At 40.3% G+C, this 24780-nt stretch overlaps 1 protein-coding gene across 11 annotated transcripts in view, besides 1 other annotated feature; it reads left to right on the forward strand.

Moving 5' to 3' along the window:
- The window catches only part of PLCB4 (phospholipase C beta 4), a 412131-nt gene that overhangs the window by 137828 nt on the left and 249523 nt on the right, over window positions 1-24780 (forward strand). For all 11 annotated transcript variants that reach the window (XM_024451898.2, NM_001377134.2, XM_005260724.3 and 8 more), the window contains one exon: window positions 10885-10947. The gene's annotated coding sequence lies outside the window, so the exon portion shown is untranslated. The remainder of the gene's footprint in view (window positions 1-10884; window positions 10948-24780) is intronic.
- Window positions 12224-12424: a silencer, noted in NCBI's record as "peak4143 fragment used in MPRA reporter construct". NCBI's record gives its function as "represses an SCP1 promoter by STARR-seq MPRAs in K562 erythroleukemia cells {active_cell/tissue: K562}" and the evidence as "EXISTENCE:reporter gene assay evidence [ECO:0000049][PMID:32103011]".

Genomic DNA, 24780 nt, shown 5'->3' on the forward strand with positions numbered 1-24780 from the left:
TTTTTCAACTGAAGCTTCAAAAAGAAACCAGCTCAGTTAGCTTATGAAGGAGGGAAGAAACAGGACACAGGGACACTTCAGAGCAGATTAGAACTGAGGTAAAGGAGACTACCATTTTCAATTAAAATTGCCTGGGGAAATTAGGTAGGCAGAGAATAATTACCTGGGTTGGCACACATCCAAGTTTCTGAAACTAAGACCCTGCTTGGATGTTCTGAGGGATCATTGACAAACACAAGTAGCCAAGGACCTTGAAGTTTATGTGTCATCTCAAATGTATTCAAGAGTTCTGGATACAATGGATGGCTATTTTAAGTCAAATTATATAGCATGAGATGTTCTAACAAAACCCTATAAAAACCAATACCCTTGGGAGGCTGAGATGGGTAGATCACAAGGTCAGGAGTTCGAGACCAGCTTAGCCAATATGGTGAAACCCCATCTCTACTAAAAATACAAAAATCACCTGGCATGGTGGTGGGTGCCTGTAGTCCCAGCTACTCGGGAGGCTGAGGCAGGAGAATCACTTGAACCCGGGAGGCGGAGTTTGCAGTGAGCCGAGATCGTGCCACTGCACTCCAGCCTGGGAGACAAAGCGAGACTCTGTCTTAAAAAACCAAAACAAAACCCAAAAACCAATACCCAAAACAAACGATACCACAAAGCATCAGATTAAAGGAGGTTTCTGTGACAAAATAAATATACATTTCTGTGACCTCAGCCATGTAACCAACAGGACACTGGGGCTGAGATTGAACTGTAGGAGAACATGAAGAGGACTGATTAAAGTATAGTTTTAGTCTCTTACCTCCTTAGGCAAGGGGCCCTAGTACATTAACAGTCCTTGGTTAGCATCTTACAAGTACCAAGAAACATCACTGAGTAAATGTCCTAACACAAGGACTTGTCCAACCTAGTCGTGCAAATGAGTCATTGAAAGCAAATCTGCCTTGAATGCAAATGTCAAGATTTAGTATTGTACTCCCCACCCCAGCTCTACCTCCAGTGACCTATTACTATTATACAACTGCTAAGCATGGTTTCTCAGGGTCTGTGCTGCCTGTGGCTGGTGGCACGTGGTGCCGTGCTGCCATTGCTATGGGGGGATAGAATCGATGGAAAAGGTTTTCGGTTATTGAACTATAGATTTTTTCTTTCTCATTACCTAGAGGAGGGCCCACCATCTGCTCCACAATAGGAAAGGGATCCAATCATGTTTCTTACTTGCTTCTAGTGTTAGCTTTTGCTGTGTTTTCATTGTTTCATAATCTCTCAATTTCAAAATGGTGCATAGTGGAAGAGGGTTTAGAAGGAAGAAAAGAGAGAAAAAGGAATCAATTATATTTTTTTCTCTTTCCTCTTTCAAAATAAAACACAGGGGTAGAGGAATACTTGTATTATTTTCTTTTTTAAAGAGATTTTCATAGACTTGCTGAACAAGGCAGCTGCTGGTATATAGGGTATTTTAACGCAAATTACAGAAATGTACCCCTTTCCAGGGCTGCAGGCCTCACTCACCTCTTGGTCATGGACATGAGCCGTATCTGTCTGAGTGCAATGCATGTGTGCTTGGCCACCATCTTGTGCTGTATAATAGATGCAGAAATAGCCCCTATTTTATACTGTGGAAGCACAGATGGATGCACAGACAGTTGCCTTAAGAGGAAGGGTCCCAGGGCCAGTGCATCAGGGGTGAATTCATGCTCCTTTGCTTACCTGTCATATGACTCTGGATAAGTGAGATGACTACTCTGTGCCTCAGTCTGCTCATCTATAAACCATTTCTGTCTCATAGAGTTTGATGAGATATAATGAGTTAATATACATAAAACACTGAGAGTGGTACCTGGACATAGTAATTTCTCATTGATTGGTAGTTATTACTATTTGCTTCTGACAGTTTTGCTGTCTAACCAAACATGTTTCTGAAGGGAGATTTCTTGAGGATTCTCATTTTTTTAAGTCTTATCTAATAAGCCATGTACTAGTGGATATATTAAGCAGGATTTTAATTATATTTAAACTTTTACTTTTTTTTTTTTCTTTTTTTCTGAGACAGGGTCTTGCTCTGTTGCCTAGGCTGGGGTGCAGTGGTACGATCACAGCTCACTGCAGCCTTGACTTCCTCGGTTCAAGTAATCTTCCCACCTCAGCTTCCTAAGTAGCTGGGACTACAGGCATGTGCCACCATTTCTGGCTAATTTTCTGTATTTTGTGTAGAGATGGAGTCTCACTATGTTGACGAGGCTGATCTCAAACTTCTGGGCCTAAGCAGTCCTCCCATCTTGGCATTCCAAAGTGTTGGGATTACAGGCGTGAGCCACCACACTTGACCTGCTTTTACTTTAAATATTAGTGTGGTTATGTATATGCTGCCTCTGTGTAACTTCCCAATAATCAAGTCAGTTGAATGAAAGAGCAGTTTAAATTGGTTAACACCATGTACAAAATATAACCTAATTTAATTAAAACATTTTGGCCCATGTTATTAATTGGATACCCTGTCCTAACAAAGCAAAACAAAGGAAACCCAAATTTTTGGTCCTTCTAGGTACTGAGTGTGTGTTTGCTGCTGCTTTTAAAGAATGTCACTTTTCTAGACATCTAGTTTCATAAGATTTAGTTTAAGGTCAAGAGGAGAAACATCTCTTATAGATTTAGAACTTGGTAGAGTACAGATATTCTTTGCAGTAGATGTGGAAGTCCAAGAACATTTGGGAGAATTGTTAAAAATGTACTGACTGGTTTTATTTAGCCTCTTTGCTGGTCAGTTAGCTTTTCTTGTGACATAGCTGCAGAGTCAAGCCTGAGTTACATAGATGACAAATGCATGCTAAGTTAGGTGTTAACAGGCAGAATTCTAAGGTGGCCCCCCGAGACTACTGCCCCTTGGTTTACATCTCCTGTATGATCCCCAGGACTGTGACTATGACGGGATGTCACTCCTGTGATTAAGTTATGTTACATGGCACAGTTTACTTTAAGAATAAAAGTTTGTCCTTGATGGACCCTAAAAGGGGTTGGAGAGACCGATTCAGAGAGAAAGATTCCATCAGGGGAGATTCTCCATGACTGGCTTTGAAGATGGTGGGGGCCATGTGACAAGGAGTGTTGATGGCCTCTAGGAGCTGAGAGTGGCCCCCAGCCGACAGCCTGAGTGAACTTGTAAGCACATTATTTCTCTGAGCCTCCAGAAAGGATGAAGCCTAGCCAACACCTTGATTTTAGCCTTGTAAGATGCTGAGCAGAAAACCCAGAAACTCCTGGTTAACGTGGTGAAACCCCGTCTCTACTAAAAAATACAAAAAATTAGCCGGGCGTGGTGGCGGGCGCCTGTAGTCCCAGTTACTCGGGAAGCTGAGGCAGGAGAATGGCGTGAACCCGGGAGGCGAAGCTTGCAGTGAGTCGAGATCGAGCCACTGAACTCCAGCCTGGGTGACAGAGCAAGACTCTGTCTCAAAAAAAAAAAAAAAAAAAAAAAGAATGAAAAAGAAAACCCAGAAACGATGTCTGGACTCCTGACCTACAGAGCTATGAGCTAATGAATGTGTGTTGCTTCAAGTCACTACGTTTGTGGCAATTTGTTATGCAGCTGTAGAAAACTAATACACGAAGGAAACCAGGCAAAAGAATGTAGGTTAGCAATTGCAAAGCCATTACCATTATTTAGAGAAAAATAACACCCATAAAAAACTTGTAATGAACTCCTCTAAAGAGCCCTGTTTTGCATTGTAGAGCCAGTTGGCCACAGTAAATGACAGATAGAGGTAAGTTTTCTGGGCAGAGTTTAGATGCTTTCTCGGGAGGGGAAATGAATGGCTAAAGTAGCTCTTTTTCTTGGTGTTTACTGCATGACGGCAAAGAAAAAATACAGAATAGGAAGTTGGAATCCCCTCCCTTCCATGCTTATACATGTTGCTGATGAGGGCTTTCATTTAGGGATCACTCACTTGGGTCGGTGAGAGGAGAACATAGGTGACGGAGTTGGCTGGGTGGAAGTGCTCTGGAGGGCGGGGGCTGTGGGGATCTGAAAACCCAAGCTTTCTCTGAGGGGACAGATGCCTCTCAGCTGTGGCTGAGTTGTCTGCAGCATTCTGTTGCCACATCATCCAAATTTCTAAGAGAAGCTGGGAGTCTGTATATTTATGTGTAGTCTCTCATTTTTTAATGTTAATAACCGGCTCAAACTCTAAAAGATCACCATGGATTCATATAAACATATATGTGGCCAGATCAGGCCCATGGGCAGCCTCTCTGTGAATGCAGCCTAGAGAATTAGTATATGGGGGCAGTTCCAGAGACTGAGAGAATTGGAGGGGGTGAGTGCCATGAGTTCTAGAAGTTTTGTCTGTTTTTTTCACTGCCATATACTCAAACTGAGAACAGCATCTGGCACACAGTAGGTGCTCAATAAATATTGTAGCACGAACTTGAGGAAACATAAACATATTAATACCTTACATGGATATAGAAAATATGACTGCATTGGTGAAACTTGTTTCTAAGATTTGATTACTTTTAATGTCTAGGCATGGTATGATTTGGGCTAACACAGTGTCCTTTTGGCCCACCCACTTTCTTTTTTTAACCTGCGATTCATTCGAGGGCTTTTATGGAAGTCATTAGGTGCTACAGAACAAAGCAGGCATTGATCCCTTCTGTGTTGCTTGGGTGCCTTGCTCCTCTTATCTCGTCTCACTCTGACCCTGACTTCTAAGATGAGTCCTAACACCGCCTGCATTTTACAGATAGGAGCTGGTTTCAGAGAGGTGAAGACAGTTGCTTGAAACTGCATAGCTGGTCAATGATGGTGCTCAGCTCTTCTGACTGCCAGGTCTTTGCCCTTCATCTCTGTGCTTGATACTCAGCATGCATTGGAACCAGTCATGTCAGCATCACCTGAGAGCTTGAGCTTCACACATGCTGAATCTCAGGCCCTGCCTCAGACCTACAGTCAAACAGAATGTGCATTTTAACCAGATATGCTGGTGATTTGTATGTTAAAGTTTGAGAAGCATTGTCCTACCCCACTAGGTTCTAAACTTGGGTTATTCCTGAATCACTTTTATGGATTTGGCCAAATCTGAGTTTTACCTGAACTTATGACTCATCTTTTCCACTTAAATGTATTTGCTTAAAAAGAAAATACAACCATGATAATGATGGTAATGTGGTAACATTACTATTATAAGTAGCTGTAAATAATTATAGTTATGTACCCAATAGAAGTTATGTACCCATTCAATAGAAGAATGATTCCATTTTCTATAAATAGAAGGTAAGTGCTAATGCCCATGCATTCTACATTACCTCTCCATGTACCATTGTAAAATATCTGTATTTTAAGATGGTACATGGAAACTGTACCATTAATAATAAAGTGTAATAAACCATAAAATATCTCTTCATGGACCATTAGTGGGAGAGTGTTCCGCTTTGGGAAATAATGCTATGGTCGATTGTAAAAACGTCCACAAGGTCTTCCCCACTGTACATTCATGGCTTTGCAGTGTGCAGTGCCCCATCAAGAGGTGGGACCATTTCTCTATCTTTTGAATGTGGGCTTGACCATGTAACTAGTTTTGCCAAATGATATATTAGCCAATGCGATACAACAGAGGCTTGGAAAGTGCTTGTGCTTTGGGGCCTGCCTTCTTGCTTCTCTTGCAAACTAGAGAACACCAAAATAAGTGGTTATTGATTTAAGCTACAAAAGTTTGAAGTCTTTGTTGTACTGCACAATCTCACTGACACAACTGCTTTCCAACATTCTGTTTGCTTGCAAAACAATCATTTCCATGTTCAGTATTAAGTCAGAGTAAAATGATCTGTTTTTGTTCAACCTTGCCCAGTTACTCTTCACTTTAAAACAAAATCTGAATATTGAATATCTTGGGGGAGGACATCACATGCTAGTCTTTTTGTGTTCAGTACATATATAGATTCACTAAAACAGGCATGGCAATGTCACCTTTAAATATTTGTAGGTTTCTTCCTCCTCTGAGAAATAAAAGCTTCACCCTTGGCTAAAGTTCCCCATTGCTTTGAAATAAGACTATGTAAAACACTGTGGCATGATTAGTGGTGGTTTACAGTAAAATATTGGTGTTTTCTTATGGCTTGAAGGCAGTTCCATATGTATGCTTTTCTTTTGTCAGGGTAAAATAAAATTGGATGTTTTCCATCACAAGGAATCCCCTGAAGAATCACAATAAGACTTTTTAATATATATAAATTTTATCACTTACTGTGTTTTCTTGAAGAATGTGAGTGTTTTCTCATTTTTGGAAAAAGCTGACTGGCAAACTCACTATGTGTATTATAGCCTTTTTTTAAAAGACTGCTTTCATGAAGTATAATTTACATATCATAAAATGCACTCACTTAAAATGTACAATTCAGTGGTTTTTAGTATTAATATATTCGTGGCATTGTGCAACTATCAACACAATCTAACCTTTGAATCTTCATTACCCCAAAAAGAAATCCCATGCTGCTCCTCTAGTCATAGAGAGCCACTAGTCAGCTTTCTGTTTCTGTGGATTTGCCTGTAGTGGACATTTCATATACATGGGAACATACCATATGTGGTCTTTGTGCTTGGCTTCTCTCCGTTAGCATACTTTTTTTTTTTTTTTTTTTTTTTTTTTTTTAGACAAAGTCTCACTCTATCACCCAGGCTGGAGGGCAGTGGTGCAGTGCAATCTCGGCTCACTACAAACTCTATCTCCCAGGTTCAAGCAGTTCTCTTGCCTCAGCCTCCCAAGTAGGTGGGATCACAGGTGTGTGCCACCACACCCAGCTAATTTTTGTACTTTTAGTAGAGACAGGATTTCACTATGTTGGCTAGGCTGGTCTTGAACTCCTGACCTTAGGTGATCCACCCACCCTGGCCTCCCAAACTGTTGGGATTACAGGCGTGAGCCAACATGCCCAGCCAGCGTAATGTTTCTTTGAAGTTAATTCACGTAGTCATGTGTATCTGTGTTGCATTTTTGAATTGCTGGATAATATTCTATTATGTGAACGTACTACACGTTTTGTTAATATGTTTATCAGTTGATGGACATTGGGATTGTTTACAATTGGGCTATTATGAATAATGCTGCTATGAAATTTTACATGTAATTTTTATATGGATATATGTTTTCATTTTTTCTTGGGTTCATATCTAGGAGTGGAATTACTGGGTAATACAGTTACTTCATTTTTAACCATTTGAGCAACTGCTAGACTGTTTTCCAAAGCAGCAGCATCATTTTACATTTCCACCAGCAGTGTATGAAGTTTCCAATTTCTCTAAATTCTTGTCAACACTTGTTATGTCTTTTGATTATAGCTTTTCTAGTGGCTATGAAGCAGTATCTCATTGTGGCTTTGATTTATATTTCCCTAATGGTTAAGTATCTTTTCATGGTTGTATATCTTTTTTGGGAAATGTCTATTCAGGTCATTTGCCCATTTTTAAATTGGGTTATTTGTCTTTTTCCTGTCCAGTTCTAAGAGTTCTTACATCCTGGATAAAAGTTCTTTATCAGATTTCCTGTTCTGTGGGTTCTCTTTTCACTTTTTTGACGGTGTACTTTGAAGGACAAAAGTTTTTAAAGAGGTTCGACTTATCTTCTTTTTTCTTTTGTTCTTCATGCTTTTGGTGTCACACCTAAGAAACCATTGTTCTGGTCACAAGGATGGTGCCACCCAAGATCACAAAGATTTACTCCTATGTTATATTTACTTTTAAGAATTTTATAGTTTTACTTCTGTGATTCACTTGGAGCTAATTTTTGTCCATGTTGTGAGGTAGGAGCCTATCTTCATTCGTTTGCGTGTGAGATACCATATGTGGTCTTTGTGCCAGTTGTCCTGGCACCGTGTGTTGAATAGACTGTCTCTCCCCATTGAATGGTCTTGATACCTTTGTTGAATGAAACAGCTTTTGTTTGCATTAACACTGATACAACTCTGGGATTTGCAATTTTGTTTACCTATTATGGGAAAATATCTTTCTTCTTTGAAAGATCAAAACACGTGGGAAGACATACATAAACACCCCAGACACACACACACACACACACACACACACACACAGCCTCTGTCTCTCACACACACACTCATGCACACAGTCCCTTCTTTACCAAAGCCCCATGTAATCCCTTCATGACCCAGAATAATAGTATTTGAAAGGAAAAGTTGGTATGCTGGAGTCTTCATTCACATATTACTACAACTCCAAGTCAGTTGCAATAGTTTGGCTATGATATGCCAGTAGCTAAATAGTTCATGACAAATTGCTTATACTGCTTAACTTCTTTGTAGTTAAGTATTTCAACATTGCCTTCCCCACATGTTGCAATATCTTATATATGCCCAGAATTAGAAAGGTTTATGGAACAATGAGGCAGTTTATGTTAGATAGTTGCTAGGGAATTAAAGAAGAGAAGGGAAAACATGTGTCCAGTCTCTAAGTCTTTGATTACGAAATGACTTGGGCAGCAAGTGGTTTCTCAAAACGAGGAGCATGGTATGGCAGGATCATTAATCAATGAGCTTTTTGGGAACTCGGCCTGTTTCATAGCCTCAGGAGACATAAAAGAGTCATATAGTTTAACATTCCAGCTGTAGGTAGGCCACCTAATTATTCAGCATTCAACAAAGATTTATTGAGCATCTACTCTGTGCCAGGCGTTATGGTAGGTATTGGGGAAATACCTAGTGGTTTTCAATAACACATAATCCCTGTCTTCATGGGAGTCGTATCTTCATTATTAATACATAATTACAAATATAAATGTAAGATTGAAAATCTGGTAAATGTCATGGAAGAAGTGGCACTGTAGGGGTTAAACATGGGCGAGGGTGCCTGGGTTTGAATGCCAGTTTTGTGGGATTCTTGAATATTCAACTTCTTCATTCCCTTTTCTATAAAATGAGAGTACATACATTTTTGAGTTTTTATGTGGATTATAAATGATGATTCAATCCATGCTTAGAGCCAGCCTGCATCATAGTAAATAGTCACTAAATTAGTAAAGTCAGGGTACATGATGCTGTGTATTCCCTAATTCTGTATATTTGAAGTGGGATGTTGCTTTCTGTAGAGACTTTGGAGTGAATTGGCTTTTTTTCCATTTTAATTATAAAAATTATTTGCTTCATGGTAAAATATTACATAATGGTTAAATGTTAGGTTAAAATCAAAGACCTTACCCTTTAAAAATCTCCTTTTAGTACTGGTCCCCTAGAGGGAGCTAGAGGTAGCCACACTCAGTGTTTCTTGTTTTCCCTCCAGATGCGTTATTTGTGTATAACGATATATATGTCTGTGTATTTACATATAGATTAGTGAGGTTTGTCTTAACACAATGGAGCCATAGTATCCATATTACTACACTACTTCAGACTTTTTAAATTAATAAAATGACCTGAGAATTTGTTTCTATGTCTTTTCATATAGGTACAGATTTCCTCTCTTGTTTTTCATGGTGTAGTCTTGTATTATATGAATGTACCAACCTACCTGAGACCTTATTAAAGGACTGTGCTGTAGTCATCTCTATACATAGATCGTGACCTTCACAAATTTCAATTCAAACTTTATAGACACAGTTTTCCCAGGTGTCATCAGTTGCCTCTGCCTTCTTACCATATGGAAATGGGCTTCCCCTTACTTTTGTGTACTTCTTTTTTTTTTTGAGATGGAGTTTTTGTTTGTTTGTTTGTTTGTTTTTGTGAGATGGAGTCTCTCTCTGTCACCCAGGCTGGAGTGCAGTGGTGCCATCTCGGCTTGCTGCAAGCTTCGCCTCCCAGGTTCACGCCATTTTCCTGCCTCAGCCTCCCGAGTAGCTGGGACTACAGGCGCCTGCCACCATGCCCGGCTAATTTTTTGTATTTTTAGTAGAGACGGGGTTTCACCATGTTAGCCAGGATGGTCTTGATCTCCTGACCTCGTGATCCGCCCGCCTCGGCCTCCCAAAGTGCTGGGATTACAGGCGTGAGCCACTGCGCCCGGCCTGAGATGGAGTTTTACTCCGTTGCCCAGGCTGGAGTGCAGTGGCATGATCTTTGCTCACTGCAACCTCTGCCTCCTGGATTCAAGTGATTCTCTTGCCTCAGCCTCCTGAGTAGCTAGGATTACAGGCACGCACCACCACACTTGGCTAATTTTTGTATTTTTTTGTAGATATGGGGCTTCACCATGTTGGCCAGGCTGGCCTTGAACTCCACTCCTGAGGCAAGTGATCTGCTTGCCTTGGCCTCCCAAAGTGTTGGGATTATAGGTGTGAGCCACTGCACCCGGCCACTTTTGTGTACTTCTGACACCACCTGGAACTTTTCCTCCCACTCCACCTTGAAAAGATCCTGAAATCTAGATTTCAGCCAAATCAGAAATCCAATGTCAAATCCAGAATCAACATAAACAACTTAATAACAAAGACAATACGGAAACAGCCATAAAAAAAGACTCTCTTTGCAAATAGATGTAATTCTGTTATAAAAAGAGTTTTTTCCAATTACAGTTCATCTAAGGACATTATACTGCTAATCAGGAAAAGATAATTATATTTACTTTGAGAAGGTTTTAGATAGCCTTGTTGTTCTATTGCTGCTTAATTATTTTAATAGATTAAGAGGGTGAGTAGGATATTAGCAGCATTGTAGAGAGAGTGTATAAACTCTGTTGGCTGAGTATAGCAGTAATAATTCTGATATGATGACTGTGTGTCTGTGTCATTTGTTTGCAACTTATGCCACTAATTTTTTTTTGTTTTTCTGACGTTTTTAAATTTACATTAGATTCTGATTTTGAAGTGCAAAGGACTGTTTTTCTCCATGAAAACTCTAAAAGTCCTTTACATCGATTTGTCTTGTCTGTGTCTGTTTCAGAGGACAGTGCTGCTGTGAGTTTGACGAAGTGGACATCACCTGCAGTCAGTCCAGAGCTGCCCAGTGAGTACTTTACCGCCTGTGTGGAGAGTCTTTGGTTGTAGGTTTCTAGAACTTTCAGTCTGTAAGATGAATCCCTTCATTCTGGCTGATGCTGCTTCTGAAATGCCTCTCAAAACTGATTCACAGACATCTTCCTTGATGCGGCAGAGCATTAAGCAGGATCTCCCAGCACTTTCTAGGTTCAATTTTATTAATTTCACTACTAACCTTGGGCACTTTACCCTTTGCTAGATTTTCTACTTGCTCTCTGCAATAGTGTTGCCCGCATTTAGTAAGCATCACATGTTTTTGAAGTGATCATTGTCTACAATTCTTTCTGGGGAGAAATGTTTCTGTGACTTGTTTTCAGTCCTGTGCAGATTTTGCTTAAGAAGATTCCCACTGATGTGAAAAATCACAACTGTGTACATTATCAGCAAAAATCCTCCATTTTGGGGGAACTACCAGGGGATGATGTAAATAAATTCTTCCAGTGCTCCCCTAATGGTTCATTTTACAAACTTTTAAAGAAACGCAAAAAGGGGAACTGGAAATATCTTTATATGGCTGATTTGTTTTATTTATAAACTGTAACTTGCCAATACTTGTATTCCAGAGCCAGAATCCTAGTGAATATGAGACATGTTCTTTTATAATCCCTTGATCAAATTGCTGTTTGTTTATTTATTTATTTTTGAGACGGAATTCTCGCTCTGTCACCCAGGCTGGAGTGCAGTGGCGCAATCTCGGCTCACTGCAACCTCTGCCTCCTGGGTTCAAGCGATTCTCCTGCCTCCACTTCCTGAGTAGCATTACAGGTGCATGCCACCACGCCTGGCTAATTTTTGCATTTTTAGCAGAGACGGAGTTTCACCATGTTAGTCAGGCTGGTCTCAAACTCCTGACTTCGTGATCTGCCCACCTCGGCCTCCCAAAGTGCTGGAATTACAGGTATGAACCACCGAACCTGGCTCAAATTGCTATTTTTAAATTGCTGTTACAAGTAAAGCATTTGGACTATGTATCATTTCTTACCTTCAGGAACAAGAGGTCATTTTATAGTAATGGCGTGAACCAGCAACTTTATTGTTTCTCCTAATAGGTCCTCCTGGAGGATCTGTTCCTCTGGGCTGTTGGCATTTAATGGCTGAGTGTTTTCCTCCAGCGTTTTGCATATCATGTGAGATACTTCATTATCTTCTGGCAGTGCCCGTGGCTGATTTTCTTCCGGCCTTTCCATGAGGGGAAGGAAGAATCGCACAACCTGACACTTCTCTAAGTGATCAGTGTTTAATGATGACAAGAGATATCCAGAAAGTAGATTTATTATTGAATGTTCCTATCTATTTTTAGTCAAGTGCGCTATCTTTTACTACTCCCCAAGGATGACTCATAAACCATGTCTTAGTAGGCAAAGAGGAGTTGGGGAGTAGGAGGGACTGAATAATTCTCTCGGGACTTTAAATCAGTGTGGACACATCATCTGCTTTTCACTCCTTCATCACATTAATCTGGACTATCCACTTTCTCTGTTTAAGAGTTGTATTATCCTTAAATAGGTCATTTTTCATCAGCTGTATTTATAAATGGTTCCTATGACGAGTTATGTGCTTATTGAATATAAACACTTGATTCAAGAGTCCAAAAAAAGAACCCCAGCAGAGCTCAGAAGTTTTGTTAAATATTTTAAGTTCAAAGAAGAAATTCCTCTACATTAAGGAGTGTAAATGCCATGCATTTAATTTTACAAAGCCTTGGCTGGGCGCGGTGGCTCACGCCTGCAATCCCAGCACTTTGGGAGGCCGAGGCGGGTGGATCACAAGGTCAGGAGATTGACACCATCCTGGCTAACACAGTGAAACCCCGTCTCTACTAAAAATACGAAAAATTAGCCAGGCATGGTGGTGGGCGCCTGTAGTCCCAGCTACTCAGGAAGCTGAGGCAGGAGAATGGCATGAACCCAGGAGGCGGAGCTTGCAGTGAGCCGAGATGGCGCCACTGCACTCCAGCCTGGGCAACAGAGGGAGACTCCGAAAAAAAAAACTTTTACAGAGGCTTTGGATGGCTCCAGATCCTGGGGCTGAAACAGTACATGGGCAGTGTACTCTCGTTCTCACCCAATAGGACCTGATTAGACTTGGAGCCCCAGATGTCACCTGGTGGTTGGTTGCTTATGTTACGCTTGCCTTTCTTCCAGAGAATCCTTCCATATGTCCCTCCATCCTCTCCTAAAAATAAAACCATTTGGCCTCTACTCTAGCATCATTCACTTGCTACATATCTTGAATTGTGAGTTGTTTTTAAAACACTGAACTAAAATCTGATTCTTCTATAATATCTTCCCATACTCAAAATTGGAAACATCTAAACTCTGGAACCTGAGCATTTCTGGTTTTGTCTTGAAATGCCTGCTTTACTTCCCCACACTTCCAACGGTGAGCAGCTCTGACTCTATGTTAGTTCTAAATGTATTTTTTAAGGCCTATTTATATGCAGAGTAGGCATTCAGAATATGTTCTTATTTCTATAAAGGCAAAAGGTATATTTTGAATCTTGCTTATATGTCACGTTCAATTTAGCTTTTTTTTTTAAACAAAACAAAACAGTGTTGGTCAATAAACTCCTAAAATAGAAAATATTTATTTAGAGAACAAAATGACTGTTTTTGGATGAATTATCCTCACCCTTGCATTAAGTGACCTTTGCATTGGGAGCTTTAGATTGGCTCTTGCTGAAGAGGAATGCCTTAGTTTAGTCCAATCAAAAACTGCTTTCAAGTTTCAGGAAAAGAAAGTAAACAACCCTTGATAACTTCTCTCCTGTGGCATTTTAGTTTGGAAGATACACTGTTCTTCTGAAAAACCTATCTAATGTTGGGGGTGCTTTCTTCCTTTTAAATTGTTTTAATTAAATATTCATTATAGACCGGGCACGGTGGCTCATGCCACCCAGCATTTTGGGAGGCCGAGGCATGCGGATCACCTGAAGTCAGGAGTTCAAGACCAGCCTGGCCAACATGGTCAAACCCTGTCTCTACTAAAAATACAAAAAAAAGTTAGCTGGGCATGGTGGCACATGCCTGTAATCCCAGCGATTCGAGAGGCTGAGACAGGAGAATTGCTTCAACCCAGGAGGCGGAGGTTTGCAGTGAGCCGAGACTGAGCCACTGTACCCCAGCCTGGGTGACAGACGAGACTCCATCTCAAAAAATGTTTGTATTAATTATATACAGAATTTATAACATTAGTGTTAGGCATGCAGCTCACCAAACTTAATGTTGACTTTTCTTTCATTTTGCCTCTACTTTAGAGCCTTACTCATTGTCCTGTCTTCTCTTACACCTTGGAGACATAGATATGTTGTACCAGCTATTAGCATATTTTTTTCTTGATCTAAGATCTGTGGCCTAGGGTTGCTGCAGTGCTCTATAGGAATGAGGATCCTTCTTATTACCCTGTAAATACTTTAGTTATTTCAAACTCTTGAGTGTTACAGAAGCTCTTATCCATGGTACAACAATAGCAAGCACAAAAACCTGTGGTTTCTTTCACATTTTCTTAGAGCACATTCATGCATGCCAAGAGTCGTGAGATGAGCTCTCCAGAAGCAGACTGAGAAGAGGATTTCTGCACAAGTGGTTTATCAAGGCAGGGCTCCCAGGAGAAACTAGTGAGTGGGGGAAGGGAAGGGAAAGGGAAGAAGCCAAGCAGGGAGATGATTCAAGCAATGTGCCTGCCCCAGCCTGATCCTGGGGGCAGAGTTGGGGGGTGCAGTGGGCCGCTCTGGAACATAATTGCTCCCTAGAGTCTGTTCCACATCAAGGCAATGGAGCTGGGCTTTTCCACTCCTGCATCAGTCACTGACTGTGGGCAGGTAAGAGAGGGCTATAAACTTCCAAGCACCTCTGCTGTCTTCATCTGCATGTGAAGCAGCTTCGGTGGTTGAAGAAGGTTTTTCTTAAGAAATGTTGGTACCATCCCTTAGCAGCAAAGCACACAAAAGCCGGGAAAGGGCACACAAGACGATTAAAGGGACCCAGTGTTATCTGGGCAGGACACTAGAGTGTCTGCTTTACCAATCCACATTCCATCTTCCTCCTTGCCTCACTCCTGCGGGCACATTTTTAATCCTTAGCCCATTTCCTGGTGTAGGTTAAGCACTTTCAGAGGCTGCATAGGATTATTTTTCCTCCTCTGAGAATGGAGTCAGCTACTGGTTCAAAGAGCTAAGTCCTAAAGTAATTGCAGTGTTGGGAGACACCTAGGTAATTTTCAGTGAGTAGAATTTCTACATATATTAGAGTTTTAGAAATAGAAAACTTGACATTTCAAAGCTTTCCTTAGTAAAATCATGGATAATGATTTCAGTGCCCTGAAAGAAGAGGTGAGGATGTCATGTGATTGTATGATTGGAGATTATTCTTACTAGGAACATTTCCAGGCACACAGGTTAACTTCATTATTCTTCATTCTCATCTCTTTTAGCCATCCTTTATTTTATTTCCTAATAGTTCACCTTTGCCTTTGGAAGTATTTTCTTTTCATAAGCTTTTAAGGGAAATATATAGTGTTTCTTGGGCACCTTCTATTTATTTATTTTATTTTGTTTTATTTTATTTTATTTTATTTTATTTTATTTTATTTTATTTTATTTTATTTTATTTTATTTTATTTTATTTTGACAGGGTCTGGTTCTGTTGCCTAGGCTGGAGTGCAGTGGCTTGACATAGCTCACTGCACCCTGGAACTCCTGGGCTCAAGTTATCCTCCTGCCTCAACCTCCTAAGAGGCTGGGACTACAAGTATGCACTACCATACCTGGCTAATTTGTAAAATTTTTTTTGTAGAGATGGGGTCTAGCTATGTTGACGAGGCTGGTTTGGAGTTCCTGACCTCAAGTGATCCTTCCAACTTAGCCTTTCAAAGCGCCAGGATGACAGGCATGAGCTACTGTGCCCAGCCCTCTTGGGTGCCTTCGATTCAGTACAGCACAAAATTTCATGATTGTTCACCTGATGTCCTAGACCAGCCAACACTGTCCAATAGAAATATTACGTGAACAACATAGAACATTTTGAATTTTCTTGTAGCTTCATTAAGACAGCGAAAAGAAAGAGGTTACAGCAGCCTAAACTGGAGGCTGGAATGTCCAAAATCACAGGTGAAATTAATTTTAGTTACATATTTAACTTAGCATATCCAAATAATTATTTCAACATTTAATCAATGTAAACATTATGGAGGTTTTACCTTTTTTTGTCCACTGAATATTTTGTACTTAAAACGGCTTTCAAGACTAGCCATATTTCAGTGCTCAAAAGCAACATTTGGCTCGTGGTACCATATTGGCCAGTGCAACTTTAGAATATTATAGAGAAACTCTGGTAAAAGGCCTTATTCTGTTTGAATAAGACTCTTAGTCAGTGCTTCTGAATCTCCCAGCTTGGTAACACTACTCAGTAAGGAAATGAGGCAGCACCGTGGTCCAGAGAGAGTGAGCTGATCTGTCCTTGAGGTGCTATTGCTACTTCCATTTTTGGATTTAGTGCCCTGTTGTACATGAATTAGGATTAAAACATTTAGGTTTGGCAGCTCAGATGTCACTGATAACCTTCAAAGGTCACTTAGAAGATAGTGGGCCTTGAATGGAGGGTAGAAAGTAGAAAAATTTTAAAGAGGAAAGGGAGGGAATTTCAATGGGAAAAAAATCTATATATGTATATCGTGTGTTTTGGGGGAGGATTCTAGAAAAGTTTGGGTATAATACTTTTATGCAAACTCATGGGGCTGGAGTGTTACATATACAATGAGAAAGGTATAGTTAGTGGCCAAACTGATACCAGACTCAAAGAGTCGAATTTTGCAGTACATGAAATGAGATATCACCATGATATAGTATATACGTTGGGACCTATTCTGGTTATTTATTGTTGTGTAAGAAGTCACTTGAAGATATAGTGGCTGCAAACAACAGCAGTCACCTTTTTACCTCTCAGTTTTTCTGTGGTCAGGAGTTAGGGAAGGGCCCGGCTGTGCATTTCTGGCTTGAGTTCTTTCATGCAGTTGCAGTCAGGTGGCAGCTGACGCTGGAAGAGCAGGCAGCTGGTATGGCTCAGCGTTTCTTCCTCCTCACCCAGTCTCATGTGGTCTTTTCTATGTGGTCTCTCTTCATGGGCAGCTTTATTCTCATAGCATGGCAGCTTCAGAGCAGGGGGACAGCCTGCCTGGGCTTCAGTGTGATTATTCTGTCCAACCAGGTGGAAGCAGCATTGCTTTATGACTTGGCCTTGGAAGTCATGCATGGTCACGTCTATCACATTACAGTAGTCCTCTCTTATCTGTAGGGGTTACGTCCCAAGACCCGCAGTAGATGCTTGAAACTGTGTTAAGTACTGAATTTTATATATGTTACATTTCTTCTATCTGATAATCAAGATAACTACTAGTGGCCAATGAGTGGGTAGCTAGAGTGTACAGCATGGATAAGCTAGACAAAAGGATGCTTCTGGATGTGAGAGATTGCATTGTGTTCCTCAGAATGGGATACAATTTAAAGCTTATGAATTATCTCGGGAATTTTCCATTTCGTACTTTTGGACTGTGGTTGACCTTGGGTACCTGAAATCATGGAAAGCAAAATGGCGTCTGCCCAGTTTCAAAGGGAAGAGACTTATGAGTTCAACTCTCAGAGACAGGAGTGTTGAAGTCACAATGTGCGAAGATAATATTGCAACTATTTTTGGGCAATATCATCTGCCTCAGGGACCCTCTCCATTGCCACTCCTGTACCCATCTTGCTCTCTTGAGCTGTGCTCTGGGAGCGCTGTGGTATGAGCACAGCTTTCATTCCCGGGCACCCTTCTATACAGTGGCTCTCTCTTCTCTCCTTACCCAGTAAGCTGGACTGGACAGTCCTTAACAAAATGTGAAGTCTTCTGCTTAGGCACTAAATGGCCAACCCTGGCCCTCTGTTTATTTTTCATTATCTTCCTTCTTTATTGTTAGAGGCCTTCCCAAGCAGTGGGCAAACACCAACCCCAGCTGTTCTCCTCTCATTTTTTAATTTGTGGAGCAATTGAGAGAGAGGAGAGAGAAAGAGCAAAAACAAAAAGGAGGAAGAATTTTCTAACCCCTTACTGGTCTTACTGAAAAGACTTGTCTTACCTTTTCCACCTAAGGATGTCATCTCCAGAAGACAGAATTCTTCGGTTTGGCCAACTGCCAGGTTTTTCTCACCATCTTTCCATTTCTAGGTTGATTCTCCTTTGCTCTGTCTCTTGCTGTCCCTGGCCAACTGGGTTTCTCTTCCCAAGGTGATTAGAAGGAAAGGGGAAAAGCATGGGGCCAACACCATGACCTTTGAGAGAGAACTTTCCTAACAGTTGCTAAGCTCAACATTCTACCAAATACTGTTCGCCCTGGTTTTCATAGGAAAATCCCTCTCCTTTGCCACAATCTCATCTTTACCTCAACATGGGCTCTGAAACTAGGTGCATAGTGAGCATTGACTTGCTTTCTTTTCCCTCCTTTCTTTTGTGAAGTCATACTTTCAACTGGAAAAGATTGAAATGCCAGCTGTGTAAGAGTTTAGGTGAAGCATGCTGAGTTCTGCAACTTATTTACTATGAAATGGATTAAAAAATGCTGATGGATGGATAGACCGATGAATGAAGGGCTAGATATTCAAAAAAGCTAGTAGCATAAAGTGTTCATTGTAGAATCTAGCTGGTAAGTATATGGGTATACTACCCATATATATCACATAGTATATACTTACGCTGTATAAATATACATAATATTAATTTTTTTCAACTTTGTAAAAGAAAAAGTTAGAGAAGAGAAGCATTAACCATAAATTATAGTAGTGGGATACATTTGAAAACAAAATGTTCATTTCCTACTTAACAAATGCTTAAGGCTTGTCTTGGTTTTCAGGTGAACTTTTTAAAAGGTTGTATTAGCATTGTTAATTGTTCTACCTTCAGTTTACCTTCAAGGTTTAAGGGACCTGGAAAAGATGTAACAGTCGAGTCTAGAAAAATAGTCTAAAATTCTAGCCGTTGCCCTTAGATTTTGTAGTTTCTTTGAGCTTGTCACATATTGCTTGTGAGTATGCTATTGAAGTCATTGTATTACGGTTGTTTTTCTGTGTCATTTCCTGAGGGCCTTTGTGGTGGCAATAGTAAGAACTTATTCCAAAGATAGGATTTCTTGTTTCCTCACCTGTTCCACACACTCCCATGTTAAATTGGGCATTCTGAATCTTTTCCAGAACTGAAATATGGATTTTTTCCCCTGCATTGGGCATGTTTGCTTTGTTTTATCTGCTTCTATAAGAGAGAGGGAACAATATAAATCCAGTTCAGCTCCCTGGATTATTTTTTGATATATCAATAAAATGTTTAAAGTTATTGGAAATTGTTGCATTTGAAAAGTTCTTAACTATTTTACTTTTCTGAAATGAAAAGAAGAGCAGGCATCTTGTCTTTGCTGTCCTCAGGTGGGAAAGGGCAGCTTGCTGAGGACTGAAGACTAAAATAAACCCTCCCAGGAGAGGAACCGGCCGGTGACCTTGGCTGCAACCACCTTGCAGATCAGCTGCTTCATTCCTTTCCATATTTTGTGGCCTGTGGGGGGAATCAAGTGTCACAAAAGCAGGAAGAGAGCAGTTTGAGGAAGACTCCAGAGGCACTGCTGGTAAAAGTGCTGACGTGATCTCCTGACCCTTTCCGTATGGCTGGAGGACTGGTGGTTTTATAGTGACCATTCAGGTAGCTGGGAGGAGGCAATCCTCCTGTGAAAAATAAGCTGTAAGAAACTGTTGCAACAGTTGTGTTTTTTTATACTCCTCATGTAATAATAAAGCGGTCTAGAATTTGGATAGATGCCGTTACATTTTTGCATTGGAGGTATGTTAAAGAGCCCATACTGAGCTAATAGAAAAATAGAAGTTAACTCACTCTTCTGAGCAAGTAGAAGTTTATTGAAAAACTGAATGATTTTGGTGATTTTTAAATTTGTCACCTGGCTGGATACATCACAGTGTGGTGGGAAGAATGTGAGCTCTGAAACCTGGGACCTGGGTTGTCCCATCTGTAAAATGAGCACAGTATTACCTTTTTCATTGGTTTTGGAAGTATTGACAGGGAGATGGTGAATCTATAGGACTTTTCTTATTGCAGATACTGAGAATCTTCGTCCCCATTTTCCTTCCTTTCCTATAGATGCTGATATTATAAAACAAGATTTTCATGAGGCTCAGAACTAATTTCTAATGAATTCACTTATTCCTCCTCTTCTGTGGGCTTCTGCTCTTTCTTCTGTACAAGTAGAAAGGAATTAAGAGTCTGCAAGGCACCGATGTTGAGGAGCTCACTGTATCACATTATTCTCATTTTGGGACCCTTTTCCTACCTAATAGTGCTCTGTCCCTGGGACTTTACACAGTGACATTTCTGTGGATTCTAATCATTTTACCTTCCCATTAGCAACAGCAAGTGTTCTGATTTCTTTCCATCCTCACCAACACTAATTTTTTGTTTTTTTTGTTTGTTTTTTTTAAATTAGAGCTTTCTTAGTAGGTATGAAATGGTACCTCCTTGTGGTTTTGCTTTATATTCCCTAATGACTGATGCTATTGTTCACCTTTTCACTTGCTTGCTGATCATTTATACCTCTTCTCTGCCCTTTGCCCATTTTTTAAGTGGGTTGTCTGCTTTTTTGATGTTGTTGAATTCATTGTAAGACTTTTTTTTTTTATATGTACTGGGCACTTGATCCTTTTCAGATATATGACTTGAAGATATTTTCTCCCATTCTGTAGACTGTCTTTTCATTTTCTTGATAACATCTTTTGATACACAAAAGTTTTTAATTTGACAGTCAAATGTATCTATTTTTTCTTTTTTTCCCACTTTTCTTGTCATATGTTAGATCCCTTCATATTTTGTTGTTATATTTAAGAATCCAAGTTTATGAAGAATTACCCTAAGATTTACACCCTGTGTTTTCTTCTATCAGTTTTATGATTTTTAGCCCTTATATTTAAGTCATAGAGCCATCCTGAATATGATGTGAGGTAGGGGTCTAATTTCATTAATTCGCATGTAGATATCCAGTTGCCCCAGCACCATTTATTGAAGAAACTATTCTTTCCAAGATTGAATCATCTTGGCACCCTTGTCAGGAGTCTATTGGCTGTAGATTTGTGGGTTTATTTCTTGATTCTAAATTCCATTGCATTGTTCTGTATGCCTATACTTATGTCACTGACACACTGTTTTTATTACTGTGTCTTTTGTAGTAAGTTTTGAATTCAGGAAATGTGAGTCCTCTAGCTTTGTTCTTTCCCATTATTATTTTGGCTACTTGGGGGGCTCCTCTTGAAGGAAGAGTTTTATTTTATAAATAAAAATGTAATACTTTTATTATTGTTTTGTCCTGCAGTGATTTTTCAACTATGGTATTATAGCTCAGGAGAAAGCAACTCCAGTAAATAATCATGTGATTGCATATGGGGTTATTATAGGCATGCTACAATCCAAGGGCTTCTTTTGCTTAAAGTTTTACATTCTAGAAGCCCTGGAAACCTTGATGAGAACTACATCAGTGGTATTCAAAGCAAAGCCAGCGCACAGACTGCTAAGTTAAAGCTGCTTGTTAGAATTCCAAGGGGCCATATTCCAGCAGCCTTTTGGAAAAGAGCAAATGTATGAGCTTCTCATTTGCAGTGATAACTAGACACTGTCCTGATTTATGCATATGTTTGCCTGTACTAGTTATTGCCTTCAATTATAGAAGCAATTTTGAAAACAACTTTCTCTTATGTAAAAGAAAGCTGTGATACAGGCATCAAAATCAGGAAAAAAATCAGAATTGTGATGAGAGAGAGTAAGGAAGAAGGCAGGTGATTTTCCTGGGATAAGTCACATTTGTTTCCAGTATGTTTGACCTCTAGACCATTCCTTTTTGAGTAGAGGAGACTATGTAGGATTTTCCTTTTGGAAAGAACTTTTGTCTGTGGATCCTTAGCAACTACTCTTTAAGCACTTCCAGATGGTCTTTAAAGTCCTCATCTAATGGAAGCTGAGAGATTGTTCCTGGGGGTTAGGGGGTGGATAGAAAAGGGCTTTAACTACTGGATACCTTGACAATGGGAAGCTATAAGAAGGAGACACATGTATTTTTCAGCTGACCCTCATCAAAATACAATTAGAAGTAGGTACATATGTGTGTTTATGTGTATATGTGTGTTTATGTGTATATGTATTAGACACTGCTGAGCCTAGAGCACTGAGTGAAACACTTCAGTAACTATAATGGGAGAACTTCTTGGATTAGACAAACTAAAGGAGGAAGAAAGAAATGGGCTAGGGCAGAAGGCCCAGGGCCATCTTCATGGGTAGAGAAGGTTGACTTCTGGGCCCATGCAGAACCTCCTAAAGCTGAGATGGAGAGAATGCTGAGAAGCAGATTCCTAAGAGGCAGCTGATATCAACAGGCCTGACTCGGGCCAGCCAGAACTCACCACTAGGTCCTTGGTCTTCATGGTTTGGCAGGAGCTTTTGGCATCGCTGTGAGGATAACATTCTCATCTGGTGCAAACAACAAAATAAAACAAACCCCATGCTCTTAGAGAGTGCCTAAGACATTGTGAGAGTTTAATAAATGATAGCTATTATTTTTGTTTAATATACAAAAAGAGTGGTTCTTAAAGGTCATCCCATAAAGCAGCCTTTTTTAAGGATCTCCAGAGGAAGTGTGGACTACAGTCTCCTGTCTGATTCATCCACTGTGAGAGTTTATTTCCCTACGGGCGTGGAAGGACTAGCAACACTAAAATCTCATTAAACGGGTACAGAATGAAGCTGCTTTCAGTGGATGTGTGCTTTCAGATCTATCACAAGTGTGAGTAGTTGTCATTTTTTAGCCACTAAAATTGATTCAGAAATTCTGCAAACAAAGGAAGGATTTTAGGATGCAGTGCAGCCAGAAGAAGGCCACATGTCTCCTGCTTGTGCTCAGTGCCTTTCATGGAGGTTATTGTGCAGTATGGAAGGTCAGTAACCAAAGTGCATGCTGCAGGGAGAAATACCAAACTGTCAACAGGGATTCCCTTTCAAGGTTCCATTGGAGTTGGAAGTTTTACCTCTTTATTTTATGTTTTCTCAAGATGTGGTGAACTTATTTTTTTTTTATTTGGTACCTTTTAATACATCTAAAAACAGTTTTTACAACAAATCTGGGTTCTTTGTGTTTAAAACTTTTTTCCTTCAAATTTTAAGTTCAGGGGCATATGTGCAGGATGTGCAGGTCTGTTACATAGGTAAACATGTGCCATGGTGGTTTGCTGCACAAGTCATCCCATCACCTAGATATTAAGCCCAGCATCCACGAGCTATCCTTCCTGATGCTCTCCCTCCCCCTACTTCCTGCCCTCTAACATTTTTTTTGAAGGTTAAAAAGGAATTATCAGAGTGATTATCAGGGAAAAAAGCTGGGAAATGTATTACACTTTTTTTTTCCACTGGTAATGAAAATGAACTAGGACTGATAACAAAATACCATAGACTGGATGGCCTAAACCCACAGTTCTGGAGGCCAGAAGTCCAAGATCAAGGTGTTGGCAGGTATAGTTTCTTCTGTGGCCTTTCTCCTTGGCTTGCAGATGGCTGCTTTCTTTCTTTGTCCTCACATGGTGTTTGCTGTGTACACTCACATTCCTGATGCCTCTTTTTGTGTCCAAATTTCCTTTTCTTATAAAAACACCAATCACACTGGATTTGGGCCCACCCCAACAGCCTTATTCTAACTTAATAACCTCTTTAAAGATACAGCCAAATACAAATACAATCATGTTCTGAGGTACTTGGGGGTTAAGGCTTCAACATATGAAATTTGAGGGCAGTGGGGGATAAAATTTTGTCCATAATAAGCAGTATAGGGGTAAAGGAGAACATAGGTAAAGCAGGAACTAAGAACCAGAAAAGTGGGTCAAAGTTCAGGGCCATGAAGTTAAGAAAAAGTTTTAGGAGGGGAATCTGTAGACTGAAAATGGCAAAGAAAGGATTTCCCTGACTGACCAGTGTCTCAGTTGGCTTTCACAAAATAACAAACTACCCTCAAAATTTAGTGGCTTAAAACAGTAGCCCCTCATTTAACTCACAATTCACTGGGTCAGCAATTTGGGCTGGCCTTGATTGGGAAGTTCTTTTGGTCTCCATTGGGCTCTCTTATGGGTCTCTGTTCAACTGCCAAGTATGCTGAGGGCTGGGTGGTGTAGGGTGGTCTTAGCTGGCATGGCTCATTTCTTCTCCATGTGTCTCTTGCTTTCCTGCAGAGTAGTTTGGGCTTGTTCACATGACAGCAGCAAAGTACCCAGAGTACGAGAGCAAAACCATGCCATAATTTCTGCCACAATTCTATTGGCCAAGGCAAGTCACAGGCCAGCCCAGAGATTCAAGAGGTGAGGAAATAGACCTTTTTAGGTGATGGCTTTAGGAGACAAGGATTATTTGACTGTCAAAGTCCCATGGCCTATTATATTTTATATTAATAACAGACTTTGCTTATATTCATGTATCAGAGAATAATAACCTGGAAAGGAATTACAAGCGTATTTATTTATGGGTGGTACTTCTGTATTCCCAAATTTGGAGACATAGTTTAATCAGAGCATTTCTTAACAACGTTGGTTGGCTTTTATTTTCCTGTGTTGCTTTGTCATCCAGAACACTGGGAGAGATCCTAGGAGAACTCTGGGTGATAGTTTCCATTTTCAGAAGTCTGGGTGATAGTTCCCTTTTCTTCCCATATCTTACTTTGAATGAAGCCTCCATGGATGAGGTAGCCCAGG

Source organism: Homo sapiens, chromosome 20 (assembly GCF_000001405.40).
Source record: "Homo sapiens chromosome 20, GRCh38.p14 Primary Assembly".
Lineage (NCBI taxonomy): Eukaryota > Metazoa > Chordata > Mammalia > Primates > Hominidae > Homo > Homo sapiens.